General features: G+C 39.2%; 1 protein-coding gene across 4 annotated transcripts in view; it reads left to right on the forward strand.

Moving 5' to 3' along the window:
• Positions 1 to 19,334, forward strand: part of LRCH1 (leucine rich repeats and calponin homology domain containing 1) — a 199,872-nt gene that overhangs the window by 177,032 nt on the left and 3,506 nt on the right. For 2 of the 4 annotated variants that reach the window (NM_001164211.2, NM_015116.3), the window contains 2 exons: positions 3,720 to 3,797; positions 11,441 to 14,697. In NM_001164211.2, coding sequence (NP_001157683.2) covers positions 3,720 to 3,797; positions 11,441 to 11,647 — 285 coding nt within the window. In that variant the 3' untranslated portion in view covers positions 11,648 to 14,697. Of the gene's footprint in view, positions 1 to 3,719; positions 3,798 to 11,440; positions 14,698 to 19,334 lie in introns of those variants that run through there. The other 2 variants (XM_017020483.2, NM_001164213.2) reach the window with 1 other exon arrangement.

Here is a 19,334-nt window from a genome sequence, read left to right on the forward strand (position 1 = left end):
ATTCTAAAAGCTATACAACTTTGGGCAATCCTCTCTTGAACTTGATTTGCTCTTCTCTATAATGGAAATGTTCTTGCAAGTATGAAGTAAGATACTTCATGTAATTTACACATATATGTAAGCCATTATAATCATTAGTGTTTATATGGCAAGTTTTGGAAATTTGGAGCCCCATAAAAGTGCAATGTTCATAAAATCTCAGAGCCCAGTGTGTTGGACTGAAGCTCACGTGAAGCTCCTCCGCCCTCTCCCATCCCCAGGAGAGCCTCACAGTGGCATGATTTGTCCTACTTTCTTTTCTCTTGACAGCAGGAAAAATTAGCCAATGACCTTATTTCATCTTAGTTTCTTATCTATCATATTGAACATATTTTTCTTTCAAAGGTTCAACCACTTTTTTAGCCTCAGAAACATAGTGGGGACAAAAAGACCAATTTGTCTTCTTTTACAAATCTACCTCTAGCAGCCTTAATGTGGGACAGTAAATTCTGTTCCATGATCCAATATGAAACACTCCAGTATCTTTTACAAATGAGGTCCAAACTGCCGTAAAGTCATCTGAGTCTCGTGCCAGATTCTCAGTAATTTTTCCCAAATTATGAGAGAGACACAACAGACACCTCAGCCTTCAATTTCAATGTACAATGATCATTTTACAAGACGTAAGAGGACATCATGAATTGTGTACCCATTTACCTTTATCTTCAGGAAAAATGCTACATTGTTTTAGAAATCTTTTGGTTTTCACCATTTTGCTTTTTTTAAATAAAAATTTTAAAATTAAACAAATAATAGGAAACAATGAGTGACTGGTGAAAAAAAGAAAATAAAGGAAAGCAAAAGAAAACAAATCATTCTTTATTCTCCTCCTACCCAAAACCAATCACTGTTGCTTTTACCATTATGTCTTCTTTACTATAAGCTTTTTTTTTTTTTTTTTGGTAAAATTAAGTTGTTTTTTAATTGTGAGCTTCTCATATAGACTAGTAATTTTTTAAATGTATTATTGAAACCTAAATATTTCCCCATGTCATTAAAATTCTCTTTTTTTTCTGGAGATGGAGTCTCCTCTGTCGCCCAGGCAGGAGTGCAGTGGCACGATCTTGGCTTACTGCACCCTCTGCCCCCAGGGTTCAAGCGTGGCTCAGCCTCCTGAATAGCTGGGATTACAGGTGCCCACCACCACGCCTGGCTAATTTTTGTATTTTTACTAGAGACGGGGTTTCACCATGTTGGCCAGGCTGGTCTCGAACTCCTGATCTCAAGTAATCTGCCCGCCTCAGCCTCCCAAAGTGCTAGGATTACAGGTGTGAGCCACCTCGCCCAGCCTAAAATTCTTCATAAATGCCTAATTTACTGACTATAACATATTTTAGCCTGTTTTATTATATTATAGTTTTCCTTTTTAGAAATGCAGTTTGTTTCTAAATATCCACTTCTACATGTCCAATTATCAAAAATTCTTCACCAAGCATCTTGATGACCTTTTGGACCAGGCCCAGCCACGCTGTAGCCGTAGAACCTGCTTTCCTTCTTTCTTCTCTGCCGTTGCTCTTTGCCCCAGGCTCAGCACAGGCAGCTCCCTCTGCCTAGAAAGCCATGCCCCCACCTGCCCCCCAAATCTCCTTGGTTCTTCAGCGTCACTAGCTCCCTTTCCTTCTCTATTTCAGCATTCAGAAAACAAACCATTCTCAACGCCTTAGGACAGGGTTTCTTCCTTTGTTCATTTTCCGTCACACCTACCCCATGACAACTAAGAACTATCCTGTATTATACTGTACCTTCCTTTAGGTTGCTAATATTTCCAGCTGCTTTAGAGGTAAGTGAGCCTGGGGATTTTGTCTTTGGCTCCACAGTTGTATCTTTAGCATCAAGTTTAGTATCTGACCCATAGTAAAGCAATAAATGCAGTTGTATCTGCCAGCAGCAGTGGATGAGAGCATCTTTTCTACCAGTATTATCACCAGCAAAAGCATTCTAATTCTTCATTCATGAAACTAATATTGTCCATTTTGTTTTTGCCAAACTGAGGGAATATAGTAGTGAACAAAATCACTATCATTGTCAGTATCCTTAGAGACTATTCCTTAGAAAAATGAACTTTTTCAGCCTCTGACAATTTGATAAGCAAAACATTGGCATTTCAATTGGTATAATTGGTATAATGTTTTATTATTGGACCAGTGGTGAGGTTGAAGCTTTAACCATTGCGTTTGTCACAAGTACTTTTCTACCTGAAGTTAGGCAACAATCTTTGAAGACGCCCTCCCTCACTCCCAAAGAGGGAGAATTATTTTTCTGTAGCTTGAAACACACTCTCCATTAACTTCTTTGGGGCTGACCTAAGTATTTGGAATGATGTTGGGCGTCTTTGGAGTTTCAGAAGAGACTCACCTAAGGACATCTTTGGAGTTTCAGAAAAGACTCACCTAAATCATAAGTAAATGAAGGAAGATAATGGGCCCAAACGATCAGAGAGAAACGCTAGGGTCTTGGCGTGATGAAATGCCTCTTGGTACCTCATCTGCCAGGTCCATGACCCTCTGTTATCTTCAGTCATGTTCCTCAGGTCTGCTTCTGTTTGCACAAGGCTTCATGCAGTGGCCTTGTCCTGAGACATGCCAGGGGTTGGGCAAAACCACCGAAGCAGCTGCTGGCGACATCTCTTTAGGGCCCACGTGAGGGACGTGACTTCCTCCCTAATCAAGATGGAGAATATTTATTTAGCTTTCAACTTAAATTGTTTCACAGGGCAACAGACTCTGTTTTTGGCAGGGCTTTTCTTTTTGTATTTAATAAATGCTGTACAAATTAGATTTTGATGATAGTTGCTTTGTGCCTCTATAAGACGGAATGAATTCCGTCATTCTCACATGAGCAGGATAAGGCCAGTCTTTATCACAGTTGCTCCTCCACCTACAATATTGGAATCAGTCATGCGTCTTGCTTTCTTTCCTAAGGAAAATAGTGGAGGAATATTACAATTTAGCAGCAAAGTGTTCAAAACGTACCATGTAAAAAAGTATAGTATATTATATATGAAATGTGCCTGTTACCCATCCCACACCTCAGAGGCCATCTATAACCAAGGTTAATTCAATTGTGAGAAGCTTTTGGTTAAGTCCTGAACATCCACCATTTTCAGTGCTGTTTACCATGATATTGCCTCTATATCCCTGGCTTTGGTGGGAAGGAGGTTAATTGGCCTGGTGAATTTAGACCCTTTATATAGGAATATATTTGTTGATGGGGAAGTTGATGTTTATGGTGTACTTTAGGCAAACTAAAACAGGTTACACAACAGTATGATCCCGTAAAAACTATATATACGTGTGTGTGTGCATATATATAAACAATATAAACATACGTGTGTATACATATATACATATGTATGCAGAAAATTTTGCATACATATACATCAGTGTATATACATGATATACAAACATCTATATATATATACATAGGCATATATGTATATCTATGTAGGCATATATGAACACAGTGTCTGGAAGAATAGAATCTAAAATATTAACAGTTTTTAATCTAAGATGGATGTTTCTGAGTGATATTTTGTTTTCTTCTATTTGCTTATGTGTTATTTTCTTTTGCTCCAATAAACATGTATTGCTTGTGCCATTTGGGAAGTTTAAAATTTAACATGTTATTAAAATGGTTTCTCTTTTAAATAATATATTATTTCCGTATATTTGCATTTATAGCCCAAACTTAGCATGGCCAAATGCAGAAGAAATGTGGAAAACTTTTTGGAAGCATGCCGAAAATTAGGAGTACCAGAGGTAACATCAAACTTACTTCATATAACTGTGTTCTAGTAAAAATTTTATTTAATATATGAGTTTGAACCATTGAATCGATGCAAAGCTTTGTACATGCTTTTTTGTCTCAACCTTTCTTGAGAAATAATATTGAATAAATTATATAAACTTTAACTTGCTCTATTGCAGTGAAAGTAAAATGACTATGCAATATGTTCAATTCTGAGGAAAAAGGGAAATAATTTAAGATTTTGAAGTAAGTGTGAAATTTCAGACTTGAAAAAAAATTTTAATCCGCTTGATTCTCCAAGAGCAGAAATTGCTGAGGCTGTAAGTGAATCTTCTCTTAGGCTTCATAGAGTAGAATTTTGGAGCTGATGGTTTTCTTATCCCAGGCTCTGAAGAAAAGACCTGCTGATTATTGATTATCATTCTCTGTAGCTGTATTTTCCATATGTGGATAAAAAAATCAACATTGGAAATACTATAGTTATTGTTATCACTAATCGTTATCATTAATAATAGCAGCGTTTGTGTGTTGCTTTACAGTTTGTTAACTATTTGCATTTCATTTTTGCCTTCAGTTTGCTTTGAGCCCAATAGGCAATTCAATTACATATAGTTTGCTATTTTTTCTCTCTCCAACCTCGGACCCAGCCTCAGCCTCAGGCAGATGGCTGGGGGCTTTTAAAGACTTTGCTTTTAGGAACATAAACTGATTTCTTAGGCAGACAGGAGGCCATCCACTCAGAATATGGAGTAGCCATATAAATTGAGGAGTTTATCCTCACTGTGATAAACAGAAATTGATAGAAGTTTATTTCTTATGATTTCTTCTTTCTTAATGCCCCAGGGATAAGGTAATTTTAAAAATACATGCGATACTGTTTTGAGTATATGAAGAGTTATATTTCAGTATAATTCTACTCAGTGATAGGAATTAGTTACTGAGATTGACAAAGACTTTTTTCCCTTTCCTTTTCTCTCTCCATCCTTCCTTCCTTTTTTTTCCTTTCTTCCTTTCTTTCCCTCTTTTTTCAGCTTGGTGGGATTCAGAGGTGGGGGATAGCGGTAGACTTCTCATCTTATTTGAGGAAAAGGAGAGCATTATTTAAAACATCTTTAAGTCAGAGCTATATCAATACAAGGAAGCTTACAAATTTATTTTTTAAAGAGTGTAAATTTTATATGATGGACTGTCTTTGTGATCTATTCTGCTTTCAGCAATGTTATAATCTGTCTATTGTGTGTGTACATTTTAATATTGCATATACATTTCTTGGCTTTGAATATATATGTGAACGCACTTACATACCTTTTCTAATGATTTGATTCTGTCATGGGCTAGTAAGATTTCCCATGTGTGAATCAAAACTCTCATGGCAAGCTTCAGATGATAAATTATTTGTGTCTGTGCTAGAAAGCACTTCATCAGTGCTTTAGGTCATTAGGTTATGACCTAACTCCCTGTGGTTTTTAAAACTCATCAATGTGTTTTTGGCTTACAGTGATATAAAATAAAATGGAAATGCCCTTAACCAATTATTGTGAGTAAAGATTGGTAATTAAGATTTCCTTTTAAAGTGGAGAAAAGGAAACTAAATTACCATAAAAATCCAGAGCAAAATTTATCATAATTTCTCAAGATGCCCCTGGCAGTAATGTACAATTTATAATTCCCGAGAAGGTTCAAATACAGGCAGTGAATGATCTTTATCTGGCAGTGTCCCATTTAACTATGTTTAGTATCACTTAGCGTATTTCTGGAATTATGTTTAAGGCTTGAGGTGATTTTCCTTTTTTTCTTTTTCTTTTCTTTTTTTTTTTTTTTTCGAGATGGAGTCCCACTCTGTCACCTGGCCAGACTGGAGTGCAGTGGCACGATCTCAGCTCACTGCAACCTCCACTTCCCGGGTTCAAGCGATTCTCTTGCCTCAGCCTCGCAGGTAGCTGGGATTACAGGTGTGCACTACCACGCCCAGCTAAGTTTTGTATTTTTAGTAGACACGGGGTTTTACCATGTTGGCCAGGCTGGTCGCGAACTCCTGACCTCAGGTGATCCGCCTGCCTCAGCCTCCCAAAGTGCTAGGATTATAGGCATGGGCCACTGTGCCTGGCCAAGGTGATTTTCAAATTTGCTCTGTGTGTGTGTGTGTGTGTGTGTGTGTGTGTGTGTGTACACATATATATCCTAATGAATAATCCAATAGCATTTTACTGGTGACTAGAGTTTAAATTTACTTCTACTAGACAAAAAGTGTGTTAACAGTTGAACTTCTTTAATGATAATGTTAAAGTAAGTAAAGAATATTTAGTGACAAATCAGAAATTCCTATTGCAAGGCAACTGGCATTTTCCTGTATACTCAAAACAACATGTTTTCATCTCACAGAGTACAGGAAATGTTTTTACCTTAGGAATATGACACTAAATTGAGGGACCAGATGACTTCCCCACCCCACCTTAGATATTTATACTTCCTTCCCTACCTAGGAGGGTTGATGACTTGAGTGTATGTGTGGCACAGTACAATTGATGATTTACACTGAAAAGGTAATTATATCACAAGACTTCTTGCAGAAATTCTCCATCTATAATTAGACATTTTAAAAGACATTTTTAAAGACCTAAAAAAAGAGGACCTATATCATTACTTTTTCTTGTTGCATCAAGCTTAATATTTGAGTAATAAAATATTCACTGATTTCCTAGTAGTCAGTGTAGTTACTTCCCTCTAATTTGCAAGCTTTTTCTACTTCTCCATCTATAACTTATCTACACACACACACAAGCCACAGAGATCTTAAGTTCTGCATTTTATAAGCTAAATATCTAACTGACAATGATAAATCATCCTGTAGATATTGAAAAGTCACAGCTGTGTTCTTAAGCCTAAAATTTTTTGTCCTATGTAATAGAATCACAGTTTGAAACTATAAACCATAGTCAGGGTCAGCAGTTTGTATAATTTTTTCACATTCATATAGATGGAATACAGTAGCTAAGCAGATTTAGTTAAATTATTACATGTAAAGTAAGAAAATGGGATGGAAATAATAATAAATGATTTTCTTTAGAAGTCCCCATAAACGCAGTCCCAGGCATTTGCTCCAGGGTGGGTCATGGTTCATGACACACTTCTCTTTGCTTCTGCAGCTGGAACCACTGTGTGGTTTCTCTAATATCCAGGAAACATGTCTGTGCAGGTTGTGGCAGTATACTACCTAAATTCACTGAATAAATAGTAAAGGTTAGTGGGTGAGACTATCCCTCCACGACATTTAAAAAAATTTGTTATGATTTTTTAAGACAGGGTCTCACTGTGTTACTCAAGCTGGTCTCGAACTCCTAGGCTCAAGACACCCTCCTGCCTTTGCCTCCGAAAATGTTGGGATTACGGACATGAGCCACTGTGCCCAACCCTTGGTGGTATTTTAAGCCCACTTTTTACAGTAGTGTAGAAGACAGTAGTTCTGTTGTGGCTGATTCATAAATGCAGCATTTTCACATTGGCTACATTCAGAATTATAAGCAGCATTAGGTACCATCCCACATCCCTTTGTGCTGTTGATGCTTAGTGGTCAGACTTTGTAGCTGTCTTCGACCTCTAGTGCAAGCATCAACTTGGTCTTGAAGACAGGCCTTAGTGGGCTTCCAAATTCTTTGGGATATATTTTCTGCGTCACCTAAGAATCTGACTCCAATTAGGCCTTGACCCCATGAGGCTTTTAATGGACACATTGGGGCTTCCTTTGACTTTTCTGAGTGCTCTTGGAGATTCCTGACCTCTAACCTCTATGTAGCAGATTGGCTACATGTTCCTGGTAGGTACAGTTCATGGTTGACTATTGGAGGTTTTCAAATGGATCCAAATTTAGGGATATTTTAGGGCTCTTATTAGTATTCTCTCAGGTTGAGAGAAATCTAATTTATGAAGCATCAAAAAATTAGGAAATAGATATTTATTTGGTTCACCAGGGAAATTTTTCTACTTAATTTTAAATAGGTAACTTTGATCTCAAACTTCTGTAAGGCATGAGATCCTTAGTTTAACAGACTTGCCTTCTTTAGATGAGGGGAGTTAGAATAGAAATGTACTCTGTTGTCTAAATGTTCAGTCCTTCATCTTCCTTACTGTTTCCAGAGAAAAGATAGAGAAGAAGATTAAAGGCAGCAACTCAGCTGACAGTGGTAGCCTCCTTTCAGCTTAGGGCTCCTTCCTGCCTATCTGGGCAGCTCAGAGTGCTGGAGGAAGGAGAAAGTTTTCATTCCACATGCAAAAGGGCAGGTCACTTGGCATCCTTGAGCTTCTGCATCAGCCAAAGGGAGTTACAAATAAAACCCTAAAGTACATTCAGATGCTAATGATGATTGTGTCAATGTAAGTGGAATTATGGCTGAGTTTTCCTTATCTTTTGTAATTTTCATATTCGCATTTTTTGTGTTAAAGGTTTTATATATGAAAGTCATAATAGCGTTCCCACTTTACACCTCTTGTGAGGGTTTAGGAAATTACACATACCACTGATTGAAGTTTTTGTTTTTGAAAGACAATCTATAAATTGAAGCTACTGTTTTTTTGTTTTAATCTTAAGAATAAGAGAAATGGGTCCCTTATCTTCTCTGAGCCTTATACCTATTTTTCTTCCCCAAGTCAATGACTTTAGTGTTAATTTAAATCATAACTAACACTTTGTGGAAGGATGAGATTCTTATTACAAGATTTATTTTAATTTTCCATTTATATTGGTTAATTCTAAGGGTGAAAGACAGGTTCATTGTTTTACTAACATCAATTTTAAAATTCATAATTTATTGAAAACAGCCAATCTATCTCTTTTCTAGCTATAAAGAATGCAACTAATTTCCAAGCTATTCCTAGCTTTCTCTAAGTTCATAAAATTGGCAATTAGTTGTCATATATTTGGAGAAGACTGGAAATCCTTCCCCACCTCTCTCCTCTCCCTGCCAAATTATACCTCATCGCTGAATTATGGCTTTAAATATTGCAGAATGACCATGAACATTCTTATATTATGATATTTTAGATTAAAAAATACTTTGTAAGCATATTGACTTTTTATATTAAGATTATATTTAAGTAAAGTAAATATATTCCAAAGTTTTAAATAAAACTTCTGCCTAGATATGTTTAGCTCTTAGAATTTAGACTGTAGTACACCCTGAACTGCTGGATCTGTCTACTTTTCTCTTTGTATCCATAGTATTTGGGGAACCTGGTCCAGTAGTAATCTCGGTCACACACTCTGGTTGTGTGCAACCTAAGTGAATTTCTTAACCTCTGGCGATTGTGATTTTTGTTCACTATAATGGGCATTAGCATCCGCACTTGCCTCTGGGGACTCTTAGTGAATTAACTGTGTTTTACAAATGGCTTGCAGTGATTACAAATGCTTTGTAAATACATGGTGAAATTTTGCCTCTTTAAATTTCCTTACTTTTTAGCATTTTCCAATTTTAATTTTCATAAAGAAATAAAGTATAATCTCTACGTCCCTCTCAGTAAGGCTAAATTTTGGAAAGCACAAAGGGCAGAACCTCCCAGGTCAGAAATTAGGAATTTTAGCCCTGGTTTGCTTCATGGCCCCATTTCAAGGGCTGAAATGACTGTTGGCTATGTGACATAGGGTTGAATCAGAGAGCAGTTCTCAGATGGCCACAGCAGCTCACACTCCACACAATCATCATGGTGCTTCACATTTTTGCCTACTAGACAGTCTTAGATCCATTCCTTTTTCTTTAGAGATTATGATTTAATTTAAATTAACCACTATAGGCTGTGACTCTAGGTCTCACCCACTTTAATTAAGCCCAGAGTCTGTGGCATCGTGAAATTGTTTCCTGGATGAGAAGAATGGTCTGTGTTGCCTGCCCCCATGAGGAGTGTACTACTGAAAACTGCCAAGTTGATCTGACTCTAGTTCTCTGATGGTGCTGCCAGAGAGCAGACCAGACATGTTCCTTAGGGTTCTGCGAAATGTATTGAAATACTTGGTGAAGATAGAATCATCTGCTTTTAACATGAAAATACTAGTTTTGTGAAAATCACATTTCAGTTTGCATATCAGCCTTCTGTCTTATGACTGCTTTGCTCGGATTTCCCTGGTCAAGCACAACATTGCAATAGAAAATTCTTATTGCAATAGAAAACTTTTCTTAGATGTTTCCTCATCTATTAATCCATGAGCAGCATCAGTCTCCCAGTGAAATCCAATTTATGTGTAGCTGTTTTAATTCTTGGGAGAACCCTAACAGTGGTAGCTTGATTTCTCCAGATCCACTGAGAAAAGATACAACATCTGAATACATATAACATGATTTATTCATCTTAAAAATATTTTGTTAAGAGTATCTCTAACTTCATTAATAAAATAAAATTAGAATGTTTTTAATCTTATTCAACCAACCTAATTTTGTAGTATTCCTACTTAACTGAGGGTATCGAGCTAACTTCAGAGGACACAAGTGAGGCAAAACTTCTAACTTAGAAACATCTTTCAGTCACTCCATGATGTGCAGCTGCTTAGCAGTGAGGCCAAAATAAAGGACAAAATTGTAGCAAAGTATGTAAAATATACATAACATATATCTTAAATGCCTCACCTAATTTGTAAATAAAACTGCATTTATGAAATAGATCACACGTATTTTCAATCTTTGTTTAATTTGGAAACAGAACCACAGCTTTTATTTCTTGCTAATATATCAATTATAATTCCTGTTAATTTTAAACTGTGGTCATTTCCGGTTCAGGAATTCAGCATGTGAGACAATTGTTTGCTTTCTGACAGCAATAGGCTGCTGAAAGTCAACGCAGAAAACTGAGCCTCTTAGTTTGCAGTTAGCTGAGAAATAGGTGTTCTGCTTCCTTACATGGTGACTGTTGAGTAGATAAAACACAGAGGTCTACCCCCCCTGCCCCAATATACCTGTTTAGTAGTGAAGCAATTTACATAGTAACTCCATGTGGGGGTGTACTTTTACTCTCTACTCTCACTACACATCCAAGAAGCCTCCCCTAGACTTTTGGTTAATGTGTTGTTGCAAAAATATGAAATGTAATGTACTTTCTGACACATGTAGGGACATACTTAGAACTAGCATTGCCCAGAGTTTATCAAGCGTAAAATGAAAAAAAAAATTAAATGTGTGTGTTAACTTTCAGAGAGAACTACTTTATATCCAAGTCTACATAGACCAGGGTAAAAAATGCACTAAGAGAATGGAGAGTGGGGGTAGGGATTCCATTTTAAACTTTATAGTTTTTCATTTAGTAAGGTTAAGTTGAAATGTCCCACGTGAAAATCTTATTTTTATGCCACTGATGAGCACATGATACCTTGAATATTAAAACTGTGTGAAAGGCAGAATGATGTGTAAATTGCAGAACAGGCCGTTCCTCCATGGCGAGATTGTGAGTGAAGGATTTCTTTGACCCATTGGCACAAAATAGGTATTCTATTCTACTATTATGATGGATTAAAAAATCTTTGATGATGAAAGGGTCTTACCTGCTTGAAATAAGGGGTTACTCCTGCCATTTGCTAGTAACCAAAAATGTGTGCTTCTTTCTAGCTGTTCCTCCGTGTATTTTTAATTGTATGCACTGTCTCTTTCTGTTCTAATGGCTGCCCTCGGAATAGGCTGACCTCTGCTCTCCGTGTGACATCCTGCAGTTGGATTTTCGTCACATTCGAAAGACTGTTGACACTCTGCTGGCACTCGGGGAGAAAGCCCCACCACCAACTTCTGCCCTCCGCTCCAGGGACCTTATAGGCTTCTGTCTTGTCCATATTCTCTTTATAGTGCTGGTCTATATCACTTACCACTGGAATGCTCTGTCCGCATAATGTCTGCACGTGCATCCAAACGCTGTGCTCTGTCGCCCTCAACCTTTGCAGGGTCCTTCCTACCTTTGAGCCTTTGCCTTGCAAACTTCCATCCCTGTCATGTCTTCAGTTATCTCTCGAGTTTTGAAGCTGAACAGTAGCAAATCAGATTTTCCAGAAGCACAAACTTTGTAGAATACAGTTTAGTATAATTCCTCTCACTTACTGAAATACAACGACGACGACTGCAAAGTGTATGCACACCGCATGCTTCCTCATCCACATAGTGCCAGCAGCAGTGCCACGCAGTTCCTCCTCTCCCTCCCGGTGAGCTGCTGCCCTGGGCAGAGGGGAGGAGAATTCCAGGACAAGAGTGTCAAGGACAGGGATTTAGCATATGGAAGTCTTTCCTTTGGGTCAGTATTGAACTAGAATTCTAATTCGGGACTGGGCAATTGAGCTGTATAGGGGCCACCTTGCAGGGAGGACAGAAAACTAACATTTTGGCCCAACTTGATCTATACAAAACTTTAATAATACCACTACTGACCAAGTTGGACGTGTACACGTACTCACACTGCCTTGATGGCCATTCGATTGGATTCCTCCCAAATTTCCTAAAAAGGGAGCCGCGAAGGGCGCTGGGCAGTGTGGCCGCCAACTTCCACCCCGGCAAGCCCCTCTGTCCTATGCAGAAGGGCGCTCAAGGGAAGGAAGTGTCGTTGCTGTTAGAGCCTCACGTGGAGGAGTCACTTAAACACCAGTTTTTTACTGCTTAATTCCTTGTTAGGTCTTCTCTTGAGGCTCTTAGAAAAGCGTTTTCCAGAGAGATTTCTATTTTTGAACAATGGAACGGATCACTGCTTTTTTGCCACATCACATAGTAACTGCCGGTCCAGAATGTGACGGATTCGACTCTATTCATTTTCAAATAAAGCCATGAGCCGTGGAACATTCTTGGTCCTGGTGCTTGGGTTATGATGGCAGGAGTCAAGAAGAAGATTACTTTCATTCTAGAAGAATGTAGTTTCTCTAATTATTTGAAATGTTCATTTAGCCTTTGATTTTCACTGATATTAACTAGCAAACTGCTTTAAGTCAGCTCAAAGGATTATATAGTAACTATATCTGCATTTGGAGCAATGTGATCAGTTTGCATTTAAAAGGAAAAAAAAGAATTTTATCTTAGCCAGAATGTCCCTGGATTCAGGGGTGTCTTTGTATAATATGAGAGGGCCTTGTTCCAAGGTCAAGGCAGCCTCCTTATTTTACATGCTGTTTGCCAAATCTTGTTTCTTAGCTTGGGGAGATGATGGACTTAGCTTCCTCAAGATAAATTTCTAGTTTATTAAGATGCAAACAGCTCTCATAGATGGCTACTACGAAGAAAATCTTATTTTTCTGAACATTTTCATGAATCCAGGGGACTTGAAAATATGGAAGACCCACATAGTTAGAAGAATATATTTATAAAGATTCCTTGCTGCTAAGTCAGATCAGATTTGCTAACAGGAAGCATTCTTTACATGACAGTATCTTGAGTTATGTGAGTTTTTTTTCCTCCTGACTTTGTGTTGATTGGTGAAATGCAGGGTATGTGGAAGTTATCTAATTAACCTCAGTTGTATATGAATAACCCACAGATGTACTGAATTACTTTTGGTGCTATCTTGTACTCTTCAATCTGTAACACAATAAAATCCCTTTGTACGATGTCTAATGAGCACCCTGAGCCATAAATTGCTTAATAAACACATTTTGGGTGATTATTCCAAGTTTTTATCAGCCCATTGATACATGTATTCATGAGCTCTCAGCATTCCCATCCAGCTCTGCAGTGCATTGAGGCTTCTCTTTAATGGTCACCACTGTGGTGGTTTTTCCCTTCTTTCTGGGGAGAAAATGGGAAAAAAAAAAAGAAAACTTACTGGGTTGCCACCTTAAAATAATATCAATAAAAACTGAGTAGGACACTCATGTAAGAGTAGATTTAATTTTCAGTGTTGATATAGTTCAATTAAAACATGTTAAAGACAAATTAAAAGACATTTATATTTTAATTCTGGCATCCAAAGTATTCTTTGGACGCACTTTGATTTTTTTTGTGTCATTAATTTGTCTGTACTCTGCTGCGCTGCACTTCTTGGGATTTATTGGATGATGTTTTTTCATTAGTAGTATGGTAACTAGCAGAACACAATTAATTTAGTCCTTTAGGCAAAAATTTGAATGAACTGTTCTGTCCATTGCCAACCCATTAATTTCTAATCAGAATATTAAGCTTCTCTGTGGTTTTTCTCCAAGGTACCCGTGCACCAGCCCATATGCTAACTGGATGCCTGCGGATGCCTGCCCTTGCAGCTTGACTGGGGATACCTGGCTGACCTCCTTAGAGTCTGAGAAGTAGTCAGGGATGTCACTGAGTGGTTTATTGTGCTGACCAAATCTCCTCCTCACAAGAAAGACCGTTTTTTCAGTACTCCCTTCCAATGTTAGATAAAAGGAGCCAAGTATCTATTTACATTTTATTTTGAAATAGCCATTTGTATTCTCTTTCTCCAGTTTCTCCAACTGGTGGCAACTCTCCACTCAGTGTCAGGAATTCCAAAATTTGTGACACCTAATTTCTAATCATCTTTCCTATTTATGGATTTCTGGTTTGTTATTTTTAGGGAGAGACACTTATGAAATGGGGCTGGTGGAAAGGGGCCCCGCAGAACTACAATGTATGATAATCGAGTATAAATTTCATCAATGAGAGTAGATAAATAAAGGCACTTGATAGCCTGCTGCTATTTGTTTGTAAGAAATTAAAACTAGCGCGTGGTGAGCTGGGTTATCTCTCGAAAACTCATGTAGATGCCTGATTGAGTCATAAGGACAAAAGGGTGTTTTGCCTTTGCCTGTGGGGAAAAAGTAGGGATGATATTTTAAAATTTTAAGAAACTGAAAGTTGTTTTGGATTAGGTGAAAAATACTTTAATATGATTTTATTTCAGGAGACTTGATTTTTAAAAATTAGGCTTCGTATTTCAAAATTAGTTCTCAATAAACAATCAATTTGGTATATAGAATGTGCCCTTTTTTTCTTCTTTAAGATGGTCAGAGTCTAGTTGCCTGGCTTTTCACTGTGACTTTGTTCATTTTTGTGTTCATTCCTTCATTCCATAAATATTGAATGAGCAATCTCTGCAAGGCCCTGGGGATAAAAAAGTCACTGGGACACATGGCCTGGTCCTCAAAAAGCTTACAGTCTATAGCAGGAGTCTGCAAGCTTGTTTCATAAAGGGCCTAAAGGAAACATTTTAGGCTTCTTGGGCCATGCAGATTCTGTTGGGATTACCCAGTTCTGCTTGTGTACCATAAATGCAGCCTTAGACAATACATCAAACATAGGTGTGGCTGTGTGCCAATAAAACTTTATTTACAAAAACTGGCTGCGGGCTGGATTAGCCTGTAGGCCATAGTTTGCCACCCTTGATCTAGTAGGTCCTTAGACAAGTAAAGAGGAATTCAAGTGATAAGGACCTGTGGTGGAACGGGTACAGGATTCTGGAAAAGAGACCTGACCCTGATGGGGAATAGGGGACCGTGAACGCATCCTGGGATGGTGGTGTTTCCACTGAGACTTAGCAAACGTTCAGGAATAGCCAGGTGGAGTGGGGAGGGGAGAGGGACTAGGGTTGAGGCATATGTGTGTGTAGAGAATGAAGTGTTCTAGGGAGAGGATGGACTAGAAGGTAGCATGGTTGCAAAGTAAATAATCCAGGGAGGAGCAACAAGAAATCTCTGTAAGATGTTGAATGGTCTCCATTTCACATTGAAGAAACTGATGCAGGAACTTAAAGCTCTCGTACATCAAAATAACACACAGATAGTTTTAAAGCTCAAACAGTGTAGTGCCAGGACTTTATATATAAGAAGCAGCCTGAACAAAATGAAATATGCTGGTGGGATGATGCCATTTTAGGCTAGTGGCTGGCTTAGAAGTGTGGGTCTCTTTGGGAGCATAAGAAACTGTAGAAGGAGGAGAGTCAGGCAGTGACGGCTCATCCTGTTCCCAGCAGGTGTTTCCTGCCAGGACAAGATGAGCTGAGTGGCAGAGCTAACCCTGACACTGAGTTGAGGGTTCGCTGGTCCCATCTGACATTGAAATTGATGGGACTAGCCATCAAAAAACTCCAGGGGCCACGGGACCTCTTCCTATATCATGACCGCAGACCTAACATATTTAACCATTAAGTAAGAGATTTATGGGAGGAGGCATAGTATTGTGGAAAGAGCCCTGGCTCTAAGACACATGTAGTTCAAACCCTGGTTCCAGGACTTACCAGCTGTTTAGTGTCACAAAGTTACTTGAACTCTCTCTCTATATTAGTTTTCTCATCTGTGAAATGGAGATATTAATGTCTGTCTTGCAGGGTTATCATAAAGAAATCACCAATACAAACCTGTAGTGTTGGTGCCAGGCACATAGGAGGTAGCCCAGAAGTTTTTCAAAGCTAGCATTTAGTCTTTATGGCTTGCCGTCTTTTCCAATGTCGTTTGCTGTGGCTCAGAAGGGTGGATGAGGGGATATGGGTGAACCTAACAGATTCTACCATTGGAGAAGTAACTTGAAGCATGAGTTCTTCAAAGGCGGTCAGAAGCATTATTTTTATGCAGGAGACTACTTCATGACTCCGCTCCGTACTTTAAAAAGAAACACAACAAAAAAAGCCCATGGGCAAACTAAGAGTCTACTGTCACGTTCTCAACAAAAATCTCCGGGATCCTATAACAGTGCAACTTAAATTCATTTCAAGTCAATATAAAGGTACAGCTGTCTCTGCTGTAAGTCCATTATGAACAAGGGGCCTGCTGGAAGGGCCACTTTACCTGCCTGATCCTTAGAGGGCCCTTCTCTTCTGAGTCATTCCTCATCCAGCTGTAAACCTACCATGATTCATTCCTAAGTCCAGCTTCTGTGCACACTTCAAGGATCCCCCCACTCTGTGGGAGATGCAGTGTCCTGACTGGTGTGATGGCAAATGGCCCTGACCCCTTCTTGGGACGCCTCCTGGTTGGAAGCCTCCCCTTGGCCATCCTTCCAACCAGCACCTCAAGGTGTAATTCCCACCAGAGTCTTCATTCCAATCCTGTGATAGAATAACCAGAATGGCCATGCTTGTATAAGGTTTCTGTTTTCCTGTGTGAGTCTTCTTACATCCCTCCAACCTCAGCAAAGTAATCTGAGGGCACCTCTGGGCTTCCTCAGGGGGTCTGAAAAGAGGCAGGAAGAATTTGAGGGGTATCTTTTTATGTCTTCTGTTTACTCCTCATCACTAGCCATACAAGCAGGAGGGAGGATCTCGGACTCTGCACCTGGCTTGGAATGTGGAGACCAGGAAGGCGAGGAATGCTGCTTGAAAAAACAAGGGCCTGGGAAAGAGGGTGCCCTTCACCTAACTCAGTCTGTGAAGTGTCCAAATGTCCTGTTGGCAGGAGGCTGAGGCCTCGATACCTTCCCATCCCCGTTTCTGTGAAGCCCCCAGCCTTTCCCTCGCATGCCCTTCAGCTTAGAACCCTGCAGGCCACTGGAGCCACTGCTCATCAGGCCCTGGGGTCAGTCCTTCATTGGAGGACACATGCCACTCTCCTTTCAGGACACAGGATAGGACACCTTGCTCCATATAAGCTGTGTCGTTCACAGAGATTAGGCTCTATGGGAATACTCGTGCTAGAATTCAGGCACATTCTAGACTACACATAACTAAACACTGAGGTTGAAAAGCAAAATGTCGTGCTGCACTGCCTTAGGCAAATCCCTCATTCAAAAATTGCTGTTCACATTCCTTGCCCAGTGTTCTGTTGATTTGTTAGTGTTTTTCCTACTGATTTGTTGAGCTTATGTGTCATATAAAATGCTTTGTAATTTTTTTTTTTTTTGAGATGGGGTATGGCTCTATTGCCCAGGCTAGAGTGCAGTGGCACAATCATAGCTCACTACAGCCTCAAATTCCTGGGCTCAAATGATCCTCCCACCTCAGCCTCCCAAGTAGCTGGGACCACAGGTGCACACCACCATGTCCAGCTAATTTTCTTTAATTTTTTTGGAGAAATGGGGGTCTCACTATGTTGACCAGGTTAGTCTCGAACTCTTGGCCTCAAGTGATCTTCCAGCCTCAGCCTCCCAAAGTGCTTGGATTACAGGCATGAGCCACCATACACATTGTTCCCTTTGTAATTTGATGCAAATACTTTTTTTTAAAGTGTTACTTATCTTCTTATTAATCGGGCTTGTTTTTTTAACACATGGATGCTTTAAATATTTAGGTAATCAGTTGCTTTGCTCTTTTCCTTTGTGACTTTTTCATAATGCTTTTTTAGCTTAGGAAATCCTTTCCCATCCATTTATCAGAAAAAAGTACTAAATATTCACCTTTATGTTATTGGGAGGGGTGTTGTAGATTTTTTTTTTTTTAATGTTCAACTCTTTATTTGATTTCAAATTGATTTTAACATATGGTATGAAGTAAAGAATTGTTTTCCCCAAGTAATATCTGGCACCAGGAACTTAACTGTACTTAACAGCCATTTACAATTTCCTGCAAAGCCAGATGTCGACTTGGGTGCTGTCAGAGCCAATAGAATGAGGAAGACATATCTTTGCCCTTATAGAACCTGCCTTAACAGTGAAATGCCAGATTCAAGTGATTTCACAAGCCCGTGGCAGATGGTGCCGGGGAGGCTGGACACTGTCATCAGGCCACAGATATCCCTCACCATGCCGCAAAAGGAGGCACCATTGTTAACAGCCTGGCTCACAGCTCACAACTCAGACAGAACTCCCCCATCCTTTCTCAGGTTGATACTTGGCTAATAAATTGTCAGGCAGCATGAACTTCCATGCTCACCTGATACGCCATTGACAAGATAATCCTACTTTGATACACAGCAATGACATGAAACCATGGTTAAAATTGTTCTTTAAAGAATCGACTGTCTTCTGTTGACAGGGGGCCATCTCTTAAGGCCTAGGTTAAAGTCTGATGTTCTCTGAATTTGCCACAAGGTAGGGAAGGGTGAAAAGCAGATACGGTAAGATGGTGAGAGAGTAAGACCCACTGACATTTGAGACAGTGGAACAAGTTATTGGAGATGTCATGTCATGTCCTTTGAAAGTCTTTTAAGCACAGAGTGCCTGTGTCTCCGGTAATTTTTGGAGAGTTCTGCATTGAGGCAGCAAGAAGATCTGGTTCCTCAAGCAAGTGTCACGTGGAAGGAAGCCCTTCCTTGCAGAGCACACCAATTGGCTTCCTGCTGAACAGTGACTCCATCACCTAGGGCTGGATGCAGATCCCACTTAAACTCTCCTTCAAAACAGCGCTACTCAGCCTTAAAAAGAAGGAAATCCTGTCATTTGCAACAACATGGATGAACCTAGACGATATTATGCTAAGTAAAATAAGCCAGGCACTGACAGACAAATACTGCGTGACCTCACTAATACGTGGAATCTAAAAACGTTGAATTCACAAAAGCAGAGAGTAGAATGGTGGTTACCAGGGGCTGGGTGGGGAGGTGGGGATAGGAAGATATTGGTCAAAGGATACAAAATGGTGACTATAGTTCATCATAATGTATTTTATACTTGAAAATTGATAAAAGACTCTATTTTAAGTGTTCTTACCAAAAAATAAGTATCTGAGATAATGGATATGATAAT

This window comes from Homo sapiens, chromosome 13, assembly GCF_000001405.40.
Source record: "Homo sapiens chromosome 13, GRCh38.p14 Primary Assembly".
In the NCBI taxonomy this organism is placed as follows: Eukaryota; Metazoa; Chordata; class Mammalia; order Primates; family Hominidae; genus Homo; species Homo sapiens.